This window comes from Homo sapiens, chromosome 15, assembly GCF_000001405.40.
Source record: "Homo sapiens chromosome 15, GRCh38.p14 Primary Assembly".
Lineage (NCBI taxonomy): Eukaryota > Metazoa > Chordata > Mammalia > Primates > Hominidae > Homo > Homo sapiens.
Genome location: NC_000015.10, coordinates 80,359,707 through 80,384,051, shown reverse-complemented (window position 1 = coordinate 80,384,051; position 24,345 = coordinate 80,359,707). Strand labels below are relative to the sequence as shown.

The 24,345-nt window shown below is 43.0% G+C and overlaps 1 long non-coding RNA gene across 4 annotated transcripts in view; it reads left to right on the top strand.

Annotated features, from left to right (window-relative positions):
• Positions 1–24,345, top strand: part of ARNT2-DT (ARNT2 divergent transcript) — a 59,344-nt gene that overhangs the window by 20,145 nt on the left and 14,854 nt on the right. The window contains exon 4 of one of the 4 annotated variants that reach the window (NR_184070.1): positions 21,542–21,677. The exons of 2 other annotated variants lie outside the window; for them this stretch is intronic. This is a non-coding gene — a long non-coding RNA (ARNT2 divergent transcript). Of the gene's footprint in view, positions 1–21,538; positions 21,678–24,345 lie in introns of all 4 variants that reach the window. One more of the 4 variants, NR_184069.1, reaches the window with a different exon arrangement.

Sequence of the window (24,345 nt, the reverse complement as noted above, 5' to 3'; positions counted from 1 at the left end):
TCTTGGCCAGCATGGTCTTGATCTCTGGACCTCGTGATCTGCCTGCCTCAGCCTCTCAAAGTGCTGGGATTACAGGCGTGAACCACTGTGCCCATTGAGAACTCCTGCTTTAATGACACATGGCAGGACTGTTCCTTTAGGAAGTACTTAGACAAAAAGGAAAGGTTCAGCATGGTCTTGTGTGATATCTATTTTTATAATTGCTACAAACCATGGGGAAAACACTGGGCAAAACTGGAACTGTTCAATCTTTTAGGCCTCAGTTATACAGAGAACACGGAGCTGGAATTAGCTTTGGAAAACCTGAATTCAAGCCTGGCTCTGATATTTAAAGACTGTGTGTCCTTAGAAAAGTCACTTCACCTCCCTGAGCTTTTGTTTTCTTCTCTATATAATGGAGTAAGTCATAGCTGACTGGATTATTTATAAAAACTAAATGATATAGTTTAAATGAAAGCCTTCCTAGCTAGGGTCAGGTAGCTAGGGCATTGTAATTATATTTTGCCCAACTGTTTCTCCTCTAGAAATATGAGCTATTTATGAGTAGGGAACGTGACTTATTCACTCCTGTTTTTGCAAAGCACAGGATCCTTGAATAGTTGTGCTCCCTCAGGATAATTGTTCAATGAATGAATGAATCAATAAATAGATGGGTGTGTAGATGTTGCAAACTTCGCCGTGGTACATGGTGTTGAATAATACATAGGAATCACTAAGGTCCGGAACAAGTCTTTTTTTTTAATTTTTAATTTTTATAAGTACATATTAAGTGTATATATTTATGCGGTACATGAAATATTTTGATACAGGCATACAATGTGTAATAATCACATCAGGGTAAATGGAGTATCCTCACCTCAAGCATTTATTCTTACTTTGTGTTACAAATAATCCAATTATACTCGTTTAGTTATTTTTAAATTTACAATAAATCCTTGTTTTCACCCTGTGTGCTAGCAAATACTAGGTCTTATTCATTCTTTCTAACTATTTTGGACCCATTAACCATTCCCACTTTCTTCCAACCCCCTGCTCCACCCTTCCTAGCCTCCGGTAACCGTTGTTCTACTCTCTATCTCCATGAGTTCCATTGTTTTATTTATTTATTTATTTATTTATTTATTTATTTATTTATTTATTGAGACAGAGCCTCACTCTGTCACCCAGGCTGGAGTGCAGTGGCACAATCTCAGCTCACTGCAACCTCCGCCTCCTGGGTTCAAGCAATTCTCCTGCCTCAGCCTCTCGAGTACCTGGGATTACAGGCACCTGCCACTACGCCCAGCTAATTTTTTTGTATTTTTAGTAGAGATGGAGTTTCATCATGTTGGCCAGGTTGGTTTTGGACTCCTGACTTCAAGTGATCCACCCGCCTTGGCCTCCCAAAGTGCTAGGATTACAGGTATGAGCCACCACATCAGGCCCAATTGTTTTATTTTTAGCTCCCATAAATAAGTGAGAATATGTGAAATTTGTCTTTCTGTGACTGGCTTATTTCACTTGACATAATGATCTCAAGTTCCGTCCATGTTGTTGCAAATGACAGAATATCGTTCTTTTTTATGGCTGAGTAGTACTCCATTGTGTATATGTACCATATTTTCTTTATCCATTAATGTATTGATGGACACTTAGGTTGCTTACAAATCTTGGCTATTGTGAGTAGTGCTGCAATAAACATAAGAGTGCAGATATCTCTTCAGTATACTGATTTCCTTTCCTTTGGGCTTACACCCAGCAGTGGGATTGCTAGATCATATATATGGTAGCTATATCTTCAATTTTTGGAGGAAGCTTCAAACTGTTCTCCATAATGGTTGTATTAATTTACATTTCCACCAATAGTGGATGATGATTCCCTTTTCTCCACATCCTCACCAGCATTTGCTGTTGCCTGTCTTTTGAATAAAAGCCATCTTAACTGGGGTGAGACAATATCTCATTATAGTTTTGATTTGCATTTCTCTGGTGATCAATGGTGTTGAACACCTTTCCATATACATACCTACCGTTTGTATGTCTTCTTTTGAAAAATGCCTTTTTAGATCTTTTGCTCATTTTAAAATTGGATTATTACATTTTTTCCTGTAGAGTTTTTTGAACTCCCTATACATTCTGTTATTGATACCCAGGTGGGTAGTTTGCAAATATTTTCTTTCATTCTGTGGGTTGTCTCTTCACTTTATTGATTGTTTTCTTTGCTGTGCAGAAGCTTTTTAACTTGGTGTGATCCCATTTGTCCATTTTTGTTTTGGTTGCCTGTGCTTGTGGGGTATTATTCAAGAAATCTTTGCCCAGTCCAATGTCCTGGAGAGTTTTCACAATGTTTTCTTATAGTAGTTTCACAGTTTGAGATCTTAGATTTAAGTCTGTAAGCCATTTTGATTTGATTTTTGTATACAGTGAGAGGTAGGGGTTTGGTTTAGTTCCTCTGCACATGGATATCCAGTTTTCCCAGCACCATTTGTTGAAGAGACTGTCCTTTCCCCAATGTATGTTCTTGGCACTGTTGTTGGAAATGAGTTCACAGTAGATGTATGAATTTGTTCCTGGATTCTCTATTCTATTCCACTGGGTCTGTGTGTCTGTTTTTATCCAGCACAGGTCTTAATCAGCTCCTCCCCAACCTGGGATCATAAAGCCTGCCAATCCTTTGCATAATTCAAGACTTCATCCTGAACCATTTGCTGGGCCATCTTGCACCCACCTCCCACCATCTTTCCAATCCTCTTTACTGTGACACAGTGATACATTTTTAAATTTTTGTCTTAGTTCACAAATTGGACCCAACTATCATTACCACAACCTCGCCCGATGATTCTCGAAATCAGGCAAGCATCAGTATTGCTTGTGGGGCTTGTTAAAACACAGATTTCTTGGCCTTACTCCAAGAGTTCCTGATTCAGCAGGCCTGGAGAGGAGCCTGAGAATCTGCATTTCTCACAAGTTCCCAGGTGATGTTGCTGCTGGTGGTCTGGAGACCCCACTTTGAGAACTCTAGTCTAGGCTGTGATCACTACTCTTTTACAGGGAGTCCCCACCCAGGGGCTGTGGGTGGCATATCGCAGTTTCCTCTCTGATGCTCTTGGGCACAGCCCCTTCAGAGCACAAGGAGGAGAGAAGGGGTGGGGCTAGGCTGTCCAGTTCACCTCTCAAGTTGGATCTCTTAGATCGTTGGGATTTTAAGCCACTGGAGCCTAGGAGTTTGGCAGCCAGTGGTGTGCTGGTAAATTTTAACAACTGGCCATTGAGAGCTTCAAGAGGTGGGTGGGCACCCGGATTTGTAGCATTTATCAATTTCTGTAGTATGAATACGACATAGCCAATTTCCAGCAACCAACCTAATGTCAAGTGGCTCACAAAAATCCTGAAAATGTAACAATGGGCTCTCATGAGCCAGTACTAATATGAATAGATTCTAGCACACCACTGCTTGGCCACCAGCCTGCTAGATTTCTTACATTCTTCCTACTAGCCCTGTTCTCCTGGATAGCTCCTTCTCCCTTTCATTCTTTGTCCCTCTGTTACAGATTTCTTGAAATTGCCTGGCTCAGAAACTTCGCCATTCTGTTCTGCGCCATCACATCTGCCCCCTGTCCCACTGCCCTACAGAGAGTCCTTCCTTCAGGTTTTATTGCTTGGTCTGGCCTGGGCCAGACCTTCTTGGCCTCAGCTTGCTGGCTGCTTCTTTGTACAGTCGTTGCTCTGCTCTGATTCCTCCACAGTCTTGATGGCTTCCCTGCTTTTCCTCCCCTGATCAGCCCCCCTTCATGGGCACACATCCTTCCAACATGTGAGAGAAGTTGGCATGGTAAAAAATGAGTAAAATCAGAATGAACTCTTTCCATATTTTATTCAGGAATGGCATTTCACAGGTTCTCTCTCTTACTGATTCCAGATCCAAAGGGAGATATCGATCCATGGAAGATGGTTGCTCTCGGAAAATGCTGAGAAGTTTGCAAAAGGAATGGAAGCAGAGTTAACCAATGTATCAGGAAGCTTACACTTTCTCCTTTTAAACTGCTGTGCTGGTCTATTAAGACATGCCTAATACCCAAAGCTGAGGGGCAAAAGGGGAGAGAATGAAGTTTATGCGTCTGTGTCATAGAGAAAAGCTGCCAAAATGTGATTAAGCTTTTTGAGTTAGAACTTAACAAAATGCCTTTGCTACTGGTTTCCATGGTTGTCCAGTGAAAAGAGTGAATACATTTATAGGAAACACAAAAGGTGGTTTCAGAGCTTGGGCAGGATGGAAGACGTATTTCTTCTACTATTCGCTCCTGTGAGTTTAGTGCCACAGACCTGCTCAGGCATCTGGGAGATGCCGGTGGGAGATGCCAGGGCTGAGCAGGTTTGAATTTCTTCCTAAACAGGGAATAAAGACCTTGAGGAAGGAATATAGATATTGAGGAAGACCCAGCTCCTCACTAATGAGCTTACCTGCTTTTCTTGGGACAGCTTGCCTTAAAGTAGACAGTGCTGTCATGGGCTTCTGGATCTTAGAAAATGCTTCTCATTCTAGGGGATTTTGGCCATGGAGACCATCGCACAGCTCTTCTCCCTTCTCCTCTTGGCTGCCATCCCAGTAAACAGGTCCTTCCCAGAACCCACAGAGGAGAAAGGCGTTGGAGAGGTGGTAAAGATCGTTGGCGGGCTAGGTGGCAATGTTAAGTCCTGAAAAACGCTGTGCGTTGGGGAGTTTCTTAGAACACTTGTGTTACTACAAAGGAATACTTGAGGCTGGGTAATTTATAAAGAAAGAGGTTACTTTGGCTTGCAGTTCTGCAGCCTGTACAAGAAGCAAGGCACCTGCATTTGCTTCTGGTGATGGCTTCAGGCTGCTTCCACTCATGGTGGAAGAGGAAGGGGCACCAGTATGTGCAAATCACAACAAGGTGAGAGAGAAGGCAGGTGGGGAGATGCCAGGCTCCCTTTTAACAATCAGCTCTCATGGGCACTAGTAGAGTGAAAACTCACTTATTGCTATGAGGATGGCACTGAGCCATTCATGAGGGGGTCCACCCTCATGGCCCTAACACCTCCCTTCAGGCCTCACCTCCAACATATGAGTCCTATCTGTGCCCTTACTTTTTTGGAGTCAGCATCTAAAATAGTCACTGCTTTGCTCCAACTGGTGTCTCCAGTAACTTGATGGGGACAACCTTCATCTTCTTCCACCTGCTCCATTCATGAACCATGTCTCCTTGTCCTGAAAGGACCAAAGGGTTTCAATTTTCTTAAGCTGTGCCTCAGTTTCCTCATCTATAAAATGAGCATAATAGGAGTACGTACCTTAGTTTAAGAGGACTAAGTAGTTTATATGTGACCACATATTAACTGAACTCATTTCATATCTCCAACCACCTACACAACATCTTTATGTCTAACAGAATCTTAAGTTTATTGTGGCAGTATGGAAACCTTGATTCTCCACTTCCCAAACCTGCTCTTCCCTGATGGTTCCTCTTACTGGTTAGTGGCACTGTTGTTCACCCAGCTACTCTGGCCAAAACCTTTGCCTCCTCTCTTTTGCTCACACCCCACATCCAATCCCACAGGAGACTGGACCTCTTCTCGCCTCTCCTATCACAACCCTAGTCCAAGCCAGTAGCCGGTCACCTGGATTGTGCACTGGACATTTCCACTCTCCCTGCGCCCACCCTTAATCCCTTTACTGCTGCCAGAGGGACACTTTGAAATTACTAGCCAGCCCATGAGCCTCTACTTCCAATCTTCTAATGGTCTCCCACATTTACAGTAGAATCCACTGTCCTTACCAAGGCCAAAACATCCCACCTATCTGGCCCCTGGCTGCCTCTCCAGCCTCATCTCCCTCTTCTCTCACCATTGCTTTTTCTGCCTTAGCCACGCTGGCCTGACTGCCTCCAGCTCAGGGGACACCTTGCTGTCTCCACAACCTTGTGCTCCCTGAGCTGGATATCATTCTCCTGATATCTGCGTACTTCACCCATCTCACTTCTGGTACATCTCTCACCCCCTGGATACCTCACCTTAAAATAGTACCACTGGACCCCCTCTGCCATGTTACACTGCTTTAGTTTTCTCATACTTGCTTATTACTCCTGAAACAGCAATTTGTAAATTGTCTCTAGCACCAGACTGTAAGGGCGGTAAGGACAGGGGCTTTGAGTGTCTTGTTCTCTGCTCTGTCTTCAACTCCTAGATGTGTCTCTAACGTGCAGTAGGTCCTTAGTAAATATTTATAGAATGCATGAATGAACCAGTAAGTATAGTGCCTGGCACATGATTAAGTGTTGAAGAAGTGTTAGTAATTATTATGGGCATTACTCACACTGCCAAACTACTTCGTGAATTTTCCCAGGGGTAGGGAACTCCTCATCTTCATATTTTAAACAGAACATCACTTTATTGAGCTAGTACCATAATGGGAACTTTAACAACCATTACTTCATTTCATCCACACATCAGCCTTATGAATAAGTGTTACTGTTCCCACTTTGCACATGAGAAAAAGAAGGATCAAAATGTCAAATGACCACCAACTACTCCATTCAGGATCACTTATACGGTTTGGCTCTGTGTCCCCACCACAGTCTCATCTCAAATTGTAATCCCCAGGTGTCTTGGGAGGGACCTGATGGGAGATGATTGGATCATGGGGGCAGTTTTCCCCCATACTGTTCTCGTGATAGTGAGGGAGTTCTTGTGAGATCTAATGGTTTAAAAGTGGCAGTTTCTCCTGCGCTGTCCTTCTCCTGTCGCCTTGTGAATAAGGTGCCTTGCTTCACCTTCTGCCATGATTGTAAGTTTCCTGAGGCCCTCTAGCCATGCAGAACTGTGAGCCAATTACACCTCTTTTGTTTATAAATTACCCAGTCTCAGGTAGTATCTTTATAGCAGTATGAGAACGGACTAATATATTCACAAAGCTGGAGGAGGGAGTGCTGTGAGTTAAACCCATCAGTCCCAAATCCGTTTCTCTTTCAACCACTCCCAGCATTGGTTCCGGGAACCCCAGGCATGGAGCTCTCCTTCCTCAAGATGCCCATAGCACCTGCTTTTCGTATTTGATGAATCTTGCCTTGCACTGTCATCAGGGGTCTCTCCCTCCGCTCCATGAGTTCCTTGAGAGCCGAGACCAAATCTTACTCCCAGAGCACAGGGCTGGGAATACAGCAGGAGCTCAGAAACATCTTGACTTGGGCTAGTGTGAGGAGTGGGAGAAAAAAGGGGAGGATTGTGTGTGCATGTAAGAGTGGGTCCTTTGCCTCTTAAAAAAGTATCTACTGCAGCTTGTGCTGAATATGAGTGTTTGGAATCCTCAGTATGATCAGGGAGGGCACTCAGAGAGAAGAGCTGGAATGATCTATGTGAGGGTTCCCCATTCAGTGTCATCTGGAGCAAATAGTCTTCCCCAGAGTTTACAAGTATATGCAAGCCCAGGGGACACAAGAAGCCAAGGTAGCCAAAGTTCACCTACCTGCTATGACAGCCCCCTGGGATGAGTCTTCTCCTCATTTAATAAAATAAATTAGGAGGGCTGGATATGCCCTAAAATAATGGTTCCATAACTGCAAAGAAGCTGACTGTAACTCTGCCACCTGTTAGGAACAGGATGTCACTGTCACTGAAACAGAAGACTGAAAATTAGCCCATGCTATATATAAATTAGGAGGGTGGCGGGGGGGCGGGGAACTGGGAACATCTTGTTTTGACATTCAGCAATATTTTCAAGGCTCTCTAAAGAAACTTGGAAGAAAAGAATGTAAAAGAGTCCAGGACCTAAAGGGAAATAAGGACCTGATTTTCAATCACATTTTGACCTGAAAATGAAATCAAGGCCTATATTGTGATGACTTGAGTAGCTTGCTGTCCTACAGCTGCACAATTGAAGTGGTTTCATTGCTGTGAGTACCTTCTGCCACTCACTAGATTCTGGAATTAATCCTCTGCCAGGCTAAAAGCAGAAACAGCTACGGATCTAACACTTCCTAGGAAGAAGTATTTAGCAGAAGCAGTGGTGTTCAATGTGGAGGCATTTTAACACAGGGTTCCGGAAGGTTCATTTGCATCCTGCACTGACCCAGCACAGGGTCTGTAGTGGTCACAGTGGTTGAATTCCCACCATCTATTCCTTACCAAATAATCAGACTAAGCCAGTGGTTCTTCATGAGAGGCTATTCCCCTCCCCTACTAAGGTGACATTGGCAATATCTAGCAACGTTTTTAGTTGTCATATCTGGGGAGGTGCTACTGGCATCTCATGGGTAGAAGCCAGGGATGATGTTTAACATCCTACAATGCACAGGAAAGCACTTCAACAAAGACTTACCTGCCCCAAAACGTTAAGAGTGCCGATGTTGAGAAAACTTGGTGGTCTATGGGGTTTGATTTGCCAATGCCTGCTTTAAGAATGAGTGTAAGACTTCATCCCAGCAAACAGTCTTGAAGCAAAGTCTGTTGGAAGCTATTTGAGAAAGGTTCTCTCATTCTTAAGAAGAACCAGAAGAAACTGTCTCTTTTCTTTTGGCTGTTGCAGTGTTTGAATATGACTTCTGGACCTGTTGTAGCCACTTTGAGTCCCTGAAGGGAATAATTTTGAGAGCAATCCAGCCATATCCAGTAAAGCCGTAGGTGTGCATAACTTGCGACCAGCAATTCAGCCCATAGACATATGCCCTGGAGAAGTCTTTACACAAGTGCACCAGAAGACAAGTACACAAGTGTTCCTGGCAACATTGTAATACTGAAAACTCACCAATATTTGTTTGTGAATAGGCAAATGGATAATTAAATTGTTACATAACTATTAAAAATAAATATTTAGGGCCGGGCGCGGTGGCTCACGCCTGTAATCCCAGCACTTTGGGCGGCCGAGGCAGGTGGATTGCGAGGTCAGGAGATGAGACCATCCTGGCTAACACGGTGAAACTCCGTCTCTACTAAAAATACAAAAAATTAGCCGGGCGTGGTGGCGGGCACCTGTAGTACCAGCTACTCAGGAGGCTGAGGCAGGAGAAAGGCATGAACCCAGGAGGTGGAGCGTGCAGTGAGCCGAGATTGGGCCACTGCACTCCAGCCTGGGCGACAGAGCGAGACTCCGTCTCAAAAATAAAAATTAAAATTAAAAATAAATAAATAAATAGCAGTGACAGTAAATAAATTATGCCTGTGGATGCATGTCACAAATATAAAGTTGAGTGAAAAGTACAAATTGAATTTTTCTCCCCCGGGCACGTCTTTGCTGCAAAGGCCCTGGTGGCCGAGACCAAGGCTGGCTGTTTACGTGAGGCCAGCCTTGCAGGTGGGGCAGAGAGGAGGAAATTTTGTTGTAAGAACTGGGACAAAGTTGGCTTCTGGAACTCCCAAAGAAAATATTTTTCTGGCAAGGGGAATGCAAGGCAAGGCTTCTCTGATGTGTAACTGATAGCCTCAGAAGGTGTAAGGTTAAATAATGATCTCATCAGTATAACAGGAGCTGGACAGTATTAATCAGTGGTCCAATTCAAAATAAAGCCACACTGCTATAAGCAAAGTAATGAAGGCTTATTGTGACCTGGGGCTCCTTAATGACACAGATTTGATTCCCACTTAATGGGCAACTGAATAATGCAGCTGATAGCACAGACCAGTGGGGAAGGCAGACCAGAGGGGTACAGGAGGCTGCCTGGGATGAGGCATCTAAAGGCTGTTATCACATGTCACATCATCAGACCTTGAATTTGCTATTAAACAGCAAATAAGCAAATATGCCACTTACAGAAGACCTTTCCAAACTTCAAGGCATCTACTAAAATTATATTTATCTCTCTTTGATATACCAATCACGCAACTCTAAACTATTTATGCAGAAACTAATCTACATATTAAATTGTGCCAATAAATGTTGTCTTCTCTGTTTACATAAAATGAATTGCAAGTCATTCCCATATGGTTCCTTAAATCTGTGGCCTAAATATATTTTTTTTAATTTCAGAGAAACTTTTATATCTTGTGATCTTTATTCTCAGATATGTAATTTTTTTTCTCACTGCTTATTTTCCTAATGTAAATTTCTCAGTTATTATAGTGGGGAATTTTTTTTAATTGGATAACCTTTGGGAGCATGATGAGGATAGAAAAATGATTGAGTATTGTACACATTATCATTAAATGGATAAACTTCTAAAATCAGGATTGTGCATGCTGAAAATAAGTTTAAAATATTGCAAATTTAAGTATCTTTTGTCAGAACATGAGAAAGTTGAGGGAAAAATAGTGGAAAGTTCCTAAAAGGGAAACAAAAAAAACAGCTTACACTATTAGTGATGACTATTTTCTTTCTGTTACGATATCTGAATCTTTAATACCAGTAGAAATTAGGTTCCAAACTAAAATTGTTCATTATAATTGCTCAGCATCAAGTAATTTTTATGTTGGATAAAGACACAACTCAATTGCTCTCTCTGATATCAATGTGGGGAACAATCCACTATGTTTCTCATTTGGTGTTAATATTGTGGCCTCAGATTTCCTCTCATAATTGCTTCAATAATTACAATCTATACATAAAAACTGAAACTCATTATTTATGAGCTTGTAGTTCTGTTGTATGTGTACAAGAGCTATTCAAAGAATAGTTGAAAAGGAAAACTATGAATAAAATATTATTCTCATGAATTTTTGCTGTGTAGCTTTCAAAGAATGTTCTATGCTTAAGCATGCATAGGGGAATTTTTGTTTTATTGGATTATTTTGGAAACTATATCAGTTTAATATTTTAATATCCCTGCCTATTTTTCTTTGAAAAGGAACCATTTCTGCTTGATAAAATTATTTGCATTTTTTAAATGTTTATCCTTTCAATTTAAGTATGTCAGATCCTTTCCTGCTTGCTTTAAATCATTCTGAAAATATTCTTATTTTATTTGCATGTTATTAAATATGGGTTCTGGTGGGATGTTTGTTTTTTAAAAAAGAAATTGCAGAAATATATAAAAAATTACACCATTTATATAAAGTTTAAAAATATTCAAAATATTATATATTATTTATATAATACATACATATATGATTTTAATATAAAGTACTGCATGGATAAATTAACACCCAGTACAGATAAATCCATGAACAGTGACATAAGTATAATTTTGAGATTTTCAATAGACTTATATTTCAGAATCAGACATATTTCCTAGATGAAAGTTATAAAGGATATGGATAAATAGAAGATGACCAACAGGTTTGTTTTAATTGACATATAAAGGAACCTTATATCCTTTAAATAAGGCAGATTAAGAAAGTGATATTGGGCCGGGCGCGGTGGCTCATGCCTGTAATCCCAGCATTTTGGGAGGACGAGGCAGGCGGATCACCTGAGGTTGGGAGTTCGAGACCACCCTGACCAACATGGAGAAACCCCCATCTCTGCTAAAAATACAAAATTAGCCGGGCGTGGTGGCAGTTGCCTGTAATCCCAGCTACTTGGGAGGCTGAGGCAGGAGAATGGCTTGAACCCGGGAGGCGGAGCTTGCAGTGGGCCGAGATCGCGCCATTGCACTCCAGCCTGGGCAACAACAGCGAAACTCCGTCTCAAAAAAAAAAAAAAAAGAAAGAAAAAGAAAGTGATATTATAGTCTCCAGACCTAAAATTACAAAAATTATTTCTAAGTACTTCTCAAACATTTATTAAGCATGTTTGATGTACAATTTCATGAACAAGAGAGGCCGCAAAATATACTTTGTTGGTGCATGTCACTGAGTAGTTTCTATAACACATGTGCTACCACATCCAGATTCCAAAATAGCCCCTTTTAGGAAACACATCTACTGCGTCCAGGACTTGCTTTCAAAAGAGAGCATGAAACATATCTCAATCAATGCTAATTTTCAGAACACAGAATTCAGTCAGTTTCTCCCAGAGTTGCAGTTCCCAGTGCAGCCTCTGCTCACTCCCAGGAATGCCAGGCCCTTTCTCTGCAACCCAGCTCAGCCTGGACTCACCCCTTCTGAGCCTCAGAAACATGCAGAGTCCTCTCTCAGTTGGACACCTCTTCCCCTCTTCCAGGCAGGTGACATTCACTACCAGTGTGAGAAATAGAAATGTGGTGCCAGGTAGATGAACTTACCAGCTCCTTAGCCTACTCCGACCTCCCCTTTGTCCCAAAGGGCTTCTGTCTGCCATTTCAGGGATTCATGCCCAGAGTCTCAGAAGATTCCTATAGCCTCGCATTTGATGATGCAGCTGTGGTACCCTTTCTCAACCATCCTTTAAAGTGAGCGTAGTAATCCCATCCCTGCTTTTGAAATCTGGGGCATCTCCATCACTTCCAAGAGTCCAACAAGCATCATCTCTCTCTTGCAACCTCTAGGAATATCTGGGTTCTCTTGTTGGTCTTAAGATCTTAGAACCACAAAGACAGACAATCCACTCGTGCATATTTCAATGTCAATAGCTGGAAACGAAAATAAATAAATACATAAATAAAATAAAATAAAATAAAAACAGATGCTATGTTTTAACCATTCCCATCGTAGATTGACCCAGAGGGTGTATATTCCTTAGAACATAAAATTATTTTGTAATCAGATGTATTTAGCAGACATTCCAAGCACTTTCATTGCCATGGAGGTCCCCAGGCCCAGAAAGTCCAGAGGAACCAGAGGTGCCCTCAGCTCAGCCTCTGCATGAGATAGTATACATTTGCTGATCTTTCCATACTGTTCTCCTTTCTATGATATGCTGAGCTCAGCCCTGGCACATCCTTTTGGCTCAACTCCCCTTCAGTTGCCCCTTTTGCCTTAGAGATAAAGAAGCCATCGCAATTTAAATTAGTAATAACTTTCACCACCATTCTTTCCCCTCATCCCCATCCCCCACAAGTGGAGAGCTCACTGTCCCAGGGACTAATAGAGCCTAGGCACCAGAGAGAAAAATAGTATCTGACTTGTATGATTTAGGCCACTATTTGCATTTTGACAACGTTTGCATTTTACCAATAATCCTTAAGACTATTTTTATTTCTTAAAGATTAAAGTCATGTGAACTAAAAAAATATTTAAGTGCTTATTTTTCATTAAGCCGATCAATTAGAGCTCTTTTTATAGGCATTACACACAACATATATATATAGCAATATAGACAGAAGATTCAGCACTTGTAAGGTTTTTCATTTGCCAGTTTCTTAATTAGATCACTGCCTTCAGGATGGAACCCTTGGAGGAACAGGGTCACGATAGCACCCATTTTTAGGGCCTAATAAGCAGACACAGCTGAAGGCAAAGACAGATCCCAAAATTAAAGATGCCATTTTTTACTGGATTCTGGATCCCCAAAAGGAGAGAGATACTATAGGAGTCCCAAAGGCAGGTCAGTGCTTCTACCATGCGTTTCATTGTAAGGCAACCCAAAGCCAAATCAGCCCATTCTGCAATTAGCCCATCCCCCATGGGAGTCTCATCTCTTAAATGGGGGGTGGGGATGTTTCCATATCTTCCAGGTGGCCAAGAGCATGTTTCTCTGATTCAAATGTGCAAAGAGTTAAGTATCCCTCCATAACTACTATTAGCCATCCCTTAAAGTATATTTCCTACCTAGTTACTACACGCCAAAGCTCTTTCATAATGTTAAGTATTTTGATACCTCCAAAACTCAAAACTGTCACATAATAAAATGCAAAACAGAACACAACCTTTTTGATTTTGAGAGGAAACTGTTTGCTTTTGATTCCTCGGGTTTCATGAGGAAAACAGAGGGTTTTTTTCCCAAAACGGGGTCTGTGGCACCTCCTCTGCTTTTCCCAAGGAATCACAGGCTACCAGAAGTTACCTTAGGGCCTCTCATGTGTGCTTTAAGAGTGACAAGACAGGCCGGGCATGGTGGCTCACGCCTGTAATTCCAGCACTTTGGGAGGCCAAGGTGGGTGGATCATGAGGTCAGGAGATCAAGACCATCCTGGCCAATATGGTGAAACCCCGTCTCTACTAAAAATACAAAATAATTAGCTGAGCATAGTGGCACATGCCTGCAATCCCAGCTACTCAGGAGGCTGAGGCAGGAGAATTGCTTGAACCTGGGAGGCAGAGGTTTCAGTAAGCCCAGATCACGCCACTGCACTCCAGCCTGGGTGACAGAGCTAGACTCTGTCTCAAAAAAAAAAAAAAATGGAGAAAAAATAATTCAGTGGACTGAAAAGAAAAAAATCCTTTTTTCAGAAAAACAAAATCCAAGTAGAGAAAAAAACATAAAGACCTTTTCAGTATACCTATGATTTGGATATCCACTTTTAATTAAGCTGAGTGGTCTTTAAGAAAATTCTTTTACTTCCCTTTTTACTGGATTTTAGCCATGCCAAGCAGTTAAGATTTTTGGCTTTTGAACTTTACAGAAAGTAATCTCACAGGTGAAACCAACAAGTCTTAACTAAGTTATGACTTAGCCACGAGTGTACAAGGTATTTTTAAAAGGGTGATAAGCAGCTTTTAAAACTGTCATTGCAAAATTGTGACTGAGAAAGTGAAAGAGATCCAACCCAAACAACTCCATTTTGTTTCCAGCCCCCAAGCGGTCCTTGCCCATCCCTGGGTGTAGGGCAAACCAACTCTGGGAAGAGCCTGGTTACAGTTTGTAGCCTAAAACAAAGATGATAACAGCCCTTTTCTAAAATTTACTTCCAACTTGCCAGGAGACAAGACCAAGAAACTAACCACAAGATTAGATACCATGGCTTAGGAATCACAAAGCTGGAGGCTACAAGATTTTGACCTTTCCTAAAGTGCTCTCAAGATCAGTGCTTAAGATATTTTGTAAATCCTGCCCTTCATGGATCAACCGGCACCACCCAGATCAATAAACTGGCTTATCTGATTTTGTGGCCCCCACCCAAGAACTGACTTAGTAAAAGAAGACAGCCACCACCGTAAAATGGCAGAGACTGGAACAAAGTATTGCCATGCAGTTACAAGTCATGTTCCCAAGAACATGAGAGAAGATGGAGGCCTGCAGCCAAGTTTGTTACTGACCATTTTGTTGGGATGGCTTGAACAGTAGGTTTATAGGGTCCTGGGTCTGCATGTTTACCTAAGGTACCCTTTGTCTTGACAGAACCATACAGAAAGACACAAAAAGCACATCAGATTGGCTACAGCTTAAAACAAACCTCACAAATCCCTTTTCATTAATTAAAACTTTACAGATAATATGAACAACAATCCTTATTATTCCTTTTACCAGTTTGCAAAGGGAGAGGGAAGCCAAAAGCCCAACTGGTAAGAAATTTTTACACTTTTGCCAGCGTGTCAGCCTTCTGGGTTCCCTTCCCCCTAGCTTAACTCTAAGCCAAGCATTTTAAGGTTTGGAAAATTAACTGTTCCCAGGTTGGAAGAAAATTATAAAAGAAGATACAGGAGCCATTTCAAACCATGAAAGAAGGAAAAACACCATGGAAAAGTCTGGGGGTTCCAGTTAGGGTTGTCAAGAGGTAATGCCTCTCTTCCTATTGGAAATGGAGCTTCCCCTGTTTCTTTGCCTTTCTTATTTTCTCTTTTCCTTTTTGGCCTATGATAGGAGACATATTGCTCATCTCTGAAATTCTCTGCTGCCTGCAGAGCTGCCTGTTTTTCAGCTGCAGTTAGGGTTTGACTTAGTAGCAGCATAACATCCCTTCATGAGAGATCAAACACCTGAGTAAAATTTTGCAAAGCTTCTCTATAGCTATCAGGGTCATCAGAAAGTTGGCCTAAGTCTTTTTTGTTTGCCTAAGGTCCTGCAATGAGAAAGGACCTTGAAGGGGCCCCAAATAAGGGGGATCCTCAGATGGTTCCCCTGGAAGTTGCTTCTCTACTTTTGGGGAATTATTCCCTTTGGGCCTGCCTGATATGATTGCTGAAAGAACTGAGTGGGTTTTGTAATGCTTGCATAAGGTCTGGTAAGAAGGCCATGCCCTTGTGCAAAAGAAAATAAGCTGCTTTTTTTTAAAGTCTCAGGGTGAAAGGAGTCCCACTGCTTCAGCATGCACTCCAGGGGAGTGCAGGCTGAAGATGGTACCCATCTAGAAAGAGAAGCAAGAAAAAGGCTTCCCTTTAGTCTCCTTCCTTTCCGTGTGACCTAGGGTGGAGAGGAAGACAGTAGGGGTGCCCCTCTGCTGTTTTCCTTCTGTGGTTCCTGAGTCCCAGCACCTTGTTGAAAATGCCATCCATGGTTGCAGGCATGACCCCCAGCCATGGAAACAGAGGAACTAAGCTACTGGGATTTGTCACACTTACCCATGCAACCCTACTCCTCTGCCTGTGATTTCCCTTTGACTTCCTAGACTTCTGTGATCTGCCTGGATCCCTGAAAAGTGGATCTCAGGTGAGACTACATCACAGTTGCATTTGAGCAACTGTTGCAATTCCCTCTTTAATGCAGGAAGTGTGCTGGTTTGAGCTCTATATCATGCTATTATGGCCCATGCTAAAGCATTTACCCTTAGATAATGGTTCAAGTTAATGTCTGAACCTAAAATCCCCTTACTAATTACCATTCTAATTGGAGGCAGAATAGGTGCCTTAAAAGAACATAGGAACCAAATGGCCATTTTCCTGCTGATGAGACAGTATTGAAACTAAAATTTGGTGTTGGAGGACATTTTACTCCTAGTTGTTGAAGGCAGAATTTTCCTGTTCATAGAAGCAGCATAAGGCCTGGTCTTTAGCAGAGGGGCACAAAAAGGGAGAATTACGAAGCTAGAGTGTTTCTATAAAGGAGCGACAATGTGCCTCATGGAGAGGATCCCTATTCAACTAGGTGGCGCTGTTGGCCTTGAAATGCCATGTGCTCTCCAGACCAAGGGCAGAGAGTGATGCTCACTGTGGGGGGAGGGGGAGAACCCTCTGTTCCCAGAAAGTCACAAAGACACTTTCCCTTGAGCTATATCCCCATTTACTATGACATTCCCTGATCTTGCCAAACAAGATTACTTCCCTGAACTGTAAAACATCCCACACATTGCATACACAGAGAAGATAGGATATATGGTGGTCACAGACAGGGAAGGAGGAAATTACGATAGGAAAGTTGGAGATCCTGTTGCCGACATCCCATCGGGCAGTCAAAGGCTGGGGTCAGTCCAGAAGCCTTTAGATAACACCAGGGGGTAGCTCCAGCCAGAAATCCTCAGTTGCTCCAAAATCTCTTCCAGTCCCATGTGACAGCTAAGTCCTCCACGAAAGGAAGCTGGTTCAAACATGGCCAACATGCCCAGCAACCTGTGGTTGCTGGGGGATGCTCCATGTTCTCTCCAATAAGCCCCACATCTAAGTCTTTAAGAGCGGCAGCCACACTAACCATGTTTTTAATTGGCTGATGAATGCCTGCTATTGATTTCATTTGGTCCTAAAATGGAGGCTGAGAGCCCCAAAATGAAAGGACAGAGTTCAAGTCTGCTCCTCTACTCACCTTTTTGATGAATGCTGTACCTTGGTATCCCAGACAAGGTCCCCAGTATGAAGTGGCTACATTGTCTGGGGTATATACCCAGGGTTCATCGTCTTGTGCCAGGAAAATTTAGGACATGGACACACACAAGAAATTTAGGAGTGGAGGTTTAACAGGCAGAAGAAAAGAGAAAGAAAAACAGCTCTCTATTGAGAGAGAAGAGTCCTCTGAGCAGAAAAGACTGGCCAGTGGCAGATGCGCTGGATTTTATAGTCAGGCTTGAGGAGGTATCTGATTTACACAGGGCTCACAGATTGGTTCGATCAGGTATGATGTTTACAATAGCACATGGGGAAGGCTGGCCAGCCCATCCTAATCTAATTATGCAAAGGAACTTTCCGCTTGGCCAGTGCCATCTTATCTGCTCCTTACTGTACACGTGGCTGACAAAGAGAAGGGAAGATGGAGCCGCCATCTTGAACATGATTGGCACAACTGCCAGCATCTATGTCTGCAGGTCAATTTTACCGGCTGCTCTTTGTTAGAAAGGAAAATAATTTGGGGCTGCTTTTCATTAAAAGGAAAACCTTACCAAGGACTTCTGTGCCCTTACTACCCACTGAAGTAATTTCTTCTTAACTCCTGTATCAGTTTGAATGGAGATATTTTTACAGCAGGAGCTTGATCACCCCCATTCTACTGGTTGCTCCATGGAGTTCTAAGAGATATAAGGTGAGATCTTTTTTCTCCTTGAGCACCATGCCTGCCTCTGCATTCTTGCAGCTCTTTTTCCTGCCTCTGCAGCTGCTATGTTTCCTCATCCAACTGCCCCTGGAGCATTTGAGATGTTCTTTGCTTTGTTTCCATTTCTGCCACTATAACAACCATTTGGAGATGCTGGCCAATTGGGTCTTTCTGTTTGGGCCTCTAAGACACTGAAAGAGGCTGTCACTTCTCTAGCATCTCCGGTGTAAGACATGGCAGCTGAACCCATCCTTCCAGCTGTGCTCTGCAGGCTTTGCCACAGCTGCCCAGAAGGGCAACCCATGGCAGCAGGCCATGCAGCAGAAAAAAGCCATGCTTGCAGGTGACTGGTCACTCCGGGTCACCACAAGGGGCCTCTGCTTTCCCTCCTGCACCTGCCCAGCAGGCTTAAGTGTGCAGGCATTAGGCTCCTCCTCAAGAGGCTTGACGGGGCTGACCAGGGACCTGGTGTGGTCTGTACTGGGAGGAGGACCAATACTCTGGCTTGAAAGTTCAGCTTCAAAGACTTGGAAGGTGGCCGGGCATAGTGGCTCACACCTGTAATCCCAGCACTTTGGGAGGCCAAGGCAGGCAGATTGCCTGAGCTCAGGAGTTCACGACCAGCCTGGGCAACATGGTGAAACCCCATCTGTACTAAAAATACAAAAAATTAGCTGGGCATGGTGGCGTGCACCTGTAGTCCCAGCTACCTGGGAGGCTGAGGCAGGAGAATTGCTTGAACCTGGGAGGCAGAGGTGGCGGTGAGTCGAGATCGCGCCACTGCACTCCAGCCTGGGCGACAGAGTGAGATTCAGTCTGAAAATAAATAAACAAATAAATAAATAAATAGATAAGACTTGGAGGGTATATTTGGTGGGTAAAAACTCAGTGTTTGTTTCCCATTTAACTGCTACCCCCTTTAGGGTGCTGACTTTCCTGAAATATGCACATCCAATCCATTGTTCCACTGTTTCTTTGGGGCCAGTCAGGTAGATTATAGCTGGGAGGTGTTGGATCTAAGCTGGAAGATCACTCAACTACCTGCTGGCTCTTGCTGGAACTGTTGTTGTTGTTATTGTTGTTGTTGTTTTATTTCTCATTTCAGTAGGTTTTGCTCCCACTTACGAGTGAGAACATACGTTTGGTTTTCCGTTGCTGAGTTACTTCACTTAGTCTCCAATTCCATTGAGGCTGGCCCTGTTGTTTTATCAGGTCCAGGCTCTTTTGGGCTTTCCCTTCTTGCCAGGACCTCTGGAAAACAAGCAGACTCCCATGAGCTTCCTGGGCCCCTATGTTGCTACTTAGAAACTGAAGGCTTTGTGCTCATGACCCCCAGGTCCTTTCTAGCCAGGCATTCAATTATTCTATGAAATATGATCCGATTCTTTCTCCCAGCTGGTAGCTCAGCATCACCTACCTTGAAATATTAGTGCCCAGGTAGAAGGTTGGTCAAAGAGGATCAAATTCCCCTTCCTAGTCTACTGTATACAATAGGATTAAACGCAGCCATATCTCACTACCAGAGGGTTTTTATGTGGAGACAATGTTAATACGTTGTATTTGTACATTTTGGTAAAGTTTGAATACTTTAAAACTCTTGTATTGCAGTATGGTTTAGTGGAATGATGACTTGGGGTTTTTCCAACTTCTAATATGAATTTTCTTCTTTGGAAGCATATAAGTTTTCTCAATAAATTTTTAGTGTAAAATAAAGGGACTATCTACCTTTTTAACGGGGGCAGCCATTTCTCCTGTAAGGAATTACACTTAAAGAATCAGAAGGAGACTTATCAGTTTATTACGGCTTGACCAAGATGTCCTGATTCAGAATTTCCTGCTTTCCCTCTGCATAGTGTGAGTGTTCACATCTAAACCTGAGTAGTACAAAGTGTCTTTTAGTGTATTCCCTTATCAAATATGTGTCTGATAAAGAGCATCATCTTCAAGCAGAAGGCAAATATGTGATGAGTTTATTTAAGAACTTGCCAGAGGACAAGTTCAGGGTAGAGAAAATTCAGACAGAAGGAGAGTGTATTGTGCTCGCATGCGTGTGTGTGGGTGCGCGTGCGTGCTGTGTTTATGCTGTGGACTACAGCACCTGATGCAACAAATCTTTACTTCTGCAGATCCTCTGGGACTCTGCACCCTAATTCCACCTCCCTCCCAGAATCCCCTTGTTTATGGTTTGATTTATAAAATTGCTCAAACACTGAATGAGTTTAGTTTCCATATCCAGTAGAGCAGCAATGATGAAGGTAGTGTTTCCCATTGATATCCTAGTTTTTACATTTCCAGATGGTATCCACAATTCCAAAACTTTAACTTAAATATGTATAAATATACACATATATACATTTATACAAATATATGTACACACACATGCATATATATATACACTCACACCTCCACAGAAATGGTTTTTGTTTTCAAATAAATTTTTTTCATATTCTGCCATTTGTGCTTTTACTTCACTTTTAAACTTCTGCTGATTCCCAATTTTTGAGAGTCCTGGGTGTCCACAGTTCCATGGGCCCAGAACAGTGAGGAGCAGCAGGGCCATGGTGGGGGGTCCCAACCACAGTCCCAGGCTGACCCTCTACTCTTCCATTTCTTGCTTCTCTCCAGGCATTGTTTCAGTTTCACAGTTTCACCCCATCTGCTTCCCCAGGTAGCTGCAGTCCTCTCTCTGCCTTTAGGGTACAGAGACCCTGGAACACCTTCTCCTTTCCTCATTGGCTTCCAATTATCTGCAAATCATCACACTTTAGCATCTTCAATGGGCCCTGGGATCTAGGATAGAGTAACCGGCTCAGCAAGAGTGGTTCTCCAGCCTATTCATGGTGGGACAGTAGGGTCCAGGAAGCACAGTCCTCCCTGCTGGCATTTCTCATTCCCCAGACCTTGGTCTTCCATCCTTCTTCAATCCCCTCCTGTTTTTTCCTGTTACCCTAATTCCTTTGTTAAACATCAACCTCCTCTTTGAAGACACATGTCAGACCACCTAACCCTCCTCTCATTCTCTTGTCCCGAATCTTCTTCCTTTCATGCCCTCCGCCTATGCAATGCTGTTCATAATAAAAATACACGTTTGAAAGTTCACAAAAATAAAAAGGTGGTGTCTCCTCTAGAGATATCCTTGCAGCTGTTGTTGATCACTGTACAGAGACCGTAGATCTGAGTAACTGAGAGATACATCTTTGTCTATGACCAGCAGATCATCTTAAGACCTTGAGTCTTTTTTTTTTTTTTTGGAGACGGAGTCTCACTCTGTCGTCCAGGCTGGAGTGCAGTGGCGCGATCTTGGCTCACTGCAAGCTCCACGTCCTGGGTTCACGCCATTCTCCAGCCTCAGCCTCCTGAGTAGCTGGGACTACAGGCCCCCACCACCACACCCGGCTAATTTTTTTGTATTTTTAGTAGAGATGGGGTTTCACCGTGTTAACCAGGATGGTCTCAATCTCCTGACCTCGTGATCCGCCCACCTTGTCCTCCCAAAGTGCTGGGATTACAGGCGTGAGCCACCGCGCCCAGCCGAACTTGAGTCTTCTTAATCAAGGTAAGATTCAAATATTCATGTTCCTTTTTACCTCCCTTCCTTCATTCCATTTGTTCATTGGGAATGGAAAGATTGTTGAATGGCTTAGACATCCCAGAAACCACGCTATGCTTTTTGACTCAATAAAGCCTTTTCAAAATTATATCCATATTTTTTTTTCTGTATCTGATTCTCGCCCCTTGGAAAGACCAGTTTATTCACCGAATTCCCATTCTTGGAGAAAGATATCTCCCCTCATCTTACTAGAAGAGTTAAGGGTAAGGCTGTTACACTTGAATTGATGCTTCATTCAATCAGGGAGAACCTGCACCTGCAAGTAAGGTGATTAACGATGTTCTATGACTTCTTGTGGTTGTGGGTAACATTCCAGGAGAAATGCTACTTTCTTTAATTTGTTGTGAAATGATAACTAAAGTCACTCTCTCACAGGAAGCTCTTAGAACTGCAGTCTCCAACTGGGTTCGGAGTGGTCACTAAGGCTTCCAGGAACCTTGTGTGACCTCATTGCTGACATTGCTCAGATTTGTGGGTCCAGTTTAAACTAAAGCAATGGCAGCAAGATGAACAGGGTGACAGAGTGAGGAGGAAAATGAACAGAGGTTGGTCCTTGCCTTCCTTAGGGAAGAGACACACACAGTGAATAATTCAGGGCTCAGCAAATATTTTCTTCAATGAGCCAGACAGTAAATAGTTTAAAACGGGGATGCATCAAGACTTTTTAGCAGCCACTAAGTGAATAAACTGTGAGCCCATTGAGCTAGGCTTCTGCAGGATTTCTTTTCTTGGAGGCTTCTTTGGCTAAAGAGTTCTCCCTGGTCTCAGTGTCTAGCATGATGTTTGACAGGTAAAGGCTGCTAAGCAGCTGCTGGTTTGGACATGTTTAACAGGAGTATGAAGCAGTGACAGTTTCCAACTGAGTCAGGGTGAGGATGGCCCAAATACCCCTGGCCACCACAGCAGGAGTGGAAAGCTGAGAGAAAGAGTAGGGGTTTGCACCTGACTTAGGAACCAGAAAGTGTATCTTGGTTCTAGCAGCGTGTGTTCCACAGTTTAATTTCCTGATGGTGAAAAACCACCCCCACTATGAATATCTTTTCCCTATCCCTTTTCCTGACCCAGTCTTCCCAAACTCTCAAGTATTCCTGTCTACACTCCTGTACACTCATAGACTGACCAATGAAGAAGGCACAGTGAGTGTAACCTGGGAGGAGGCAGAGACACAGAGTACCAATCTCCTTCCACTGGCATGTTATCTCAGACCCTTGACAATGTGGCCTCTGTATTAGAGTTCTTGACAGGGACAGAACCAACTGGATGCAGATACGTATAGAGAGATTCATCTCAAGGATTTGTTTCATGCCACTGTGGGACTGGTGAATCTGAAATCTGCAGGACGGGCTGGCAAGCTGGAGACCCAGGGAAGAGTTGATGTTGCAGCTGAAGTCTGAAGGCTGTCTGCTAGCAGAATTCCCTCTTCCTTGGTGGGGGGTGGGTAGGGGCGCTCTGTCTCTTTCTTAAGACCATCAACTGACTGAATGCAGCCCACCACATCATGGATCGTACAATAATCTCCTTTACTCAGTGTCTACTGATTTAAGTGTTAATTGCACCTTTAAAAAAACACATTCACAGCAATATTCTAGCCTGGCCTTTGACCAAATGTCTGGGCACCATAGCCTAACCAATTTATACCAATTAACCATCACATGCTCCAAACCAATAGATAACATTTGATTTTTGCTTTTTTTCCGCATACTTTCTCTTTTGATAGTCAGAACCATCCCAATCAATTGGGATGCATGATATTGACCTAACCACCTAAGGCAACCTATTACTGAGTGTTTAGCTATTGGGATGGAAAATTTCCTCTGAAAACTATGTCATGAAAATCTCTTCTTCAGAAAGTAAGAGTGAAGCTGAAGATATTAAGAATGCATCGGTTTGAGAGAGTGCATGAGAGTTAAGTTTTTATGTCTTTCAATATGTATTTTAACCTTCTGTTAACTGGACAAATTTGACGTGCTGGCAAGAACCAAGCCAGACTTGTAACAAAGGATCCATAGAAGTATAGGAAACAAATGGAAAAAGTTTTCATGGTATGATCTAGAGGAACACGCTTATTTTTGTTGACTGAGGTTTTGAGAGAAAAAAAAGACAGAAGACTGAGCCCTGGATACAGAGACAGGCCACAGCAGCCAGGCTTCCCCATGCTCCCTTCTTGAGAGATTCCCAAGGCTCTTGGTGGAGGCAAGCTAAGCTGAGCCCATGCCAGACATTTCCACTACCAAGGCCCTCCTGCCAGCCCATCCAGCTCCGAAAACACCCAGCTATGGAGAGTAGCTCATCCAGAAGGTGAGAATTGGGGAAAGGCGTTACCTGCTTCCTTCTTTGTTTATTGCATTCCTCAAAACCAAGACAAAGATAAATTTATCATTCCACCCTCCTGTCAGAAATCAAAGATGATTTATTATTTATGATTTAAACAACGACTCGTGTTTCTGGAGAGGAGCCCCACAGGTGTGCAGATGGGGCCCTCATCTGCTAATGTTGTGCAGTGTTGATCATCTGCCTTCCATCCAGAGGGTGGCCGAGGAAGGGCCAAGGGAGCTGCTCTGGAGCTGACGAGTCATGTGCTCCCAGGCCCTTGACTGCAAATTTTCTTACCACT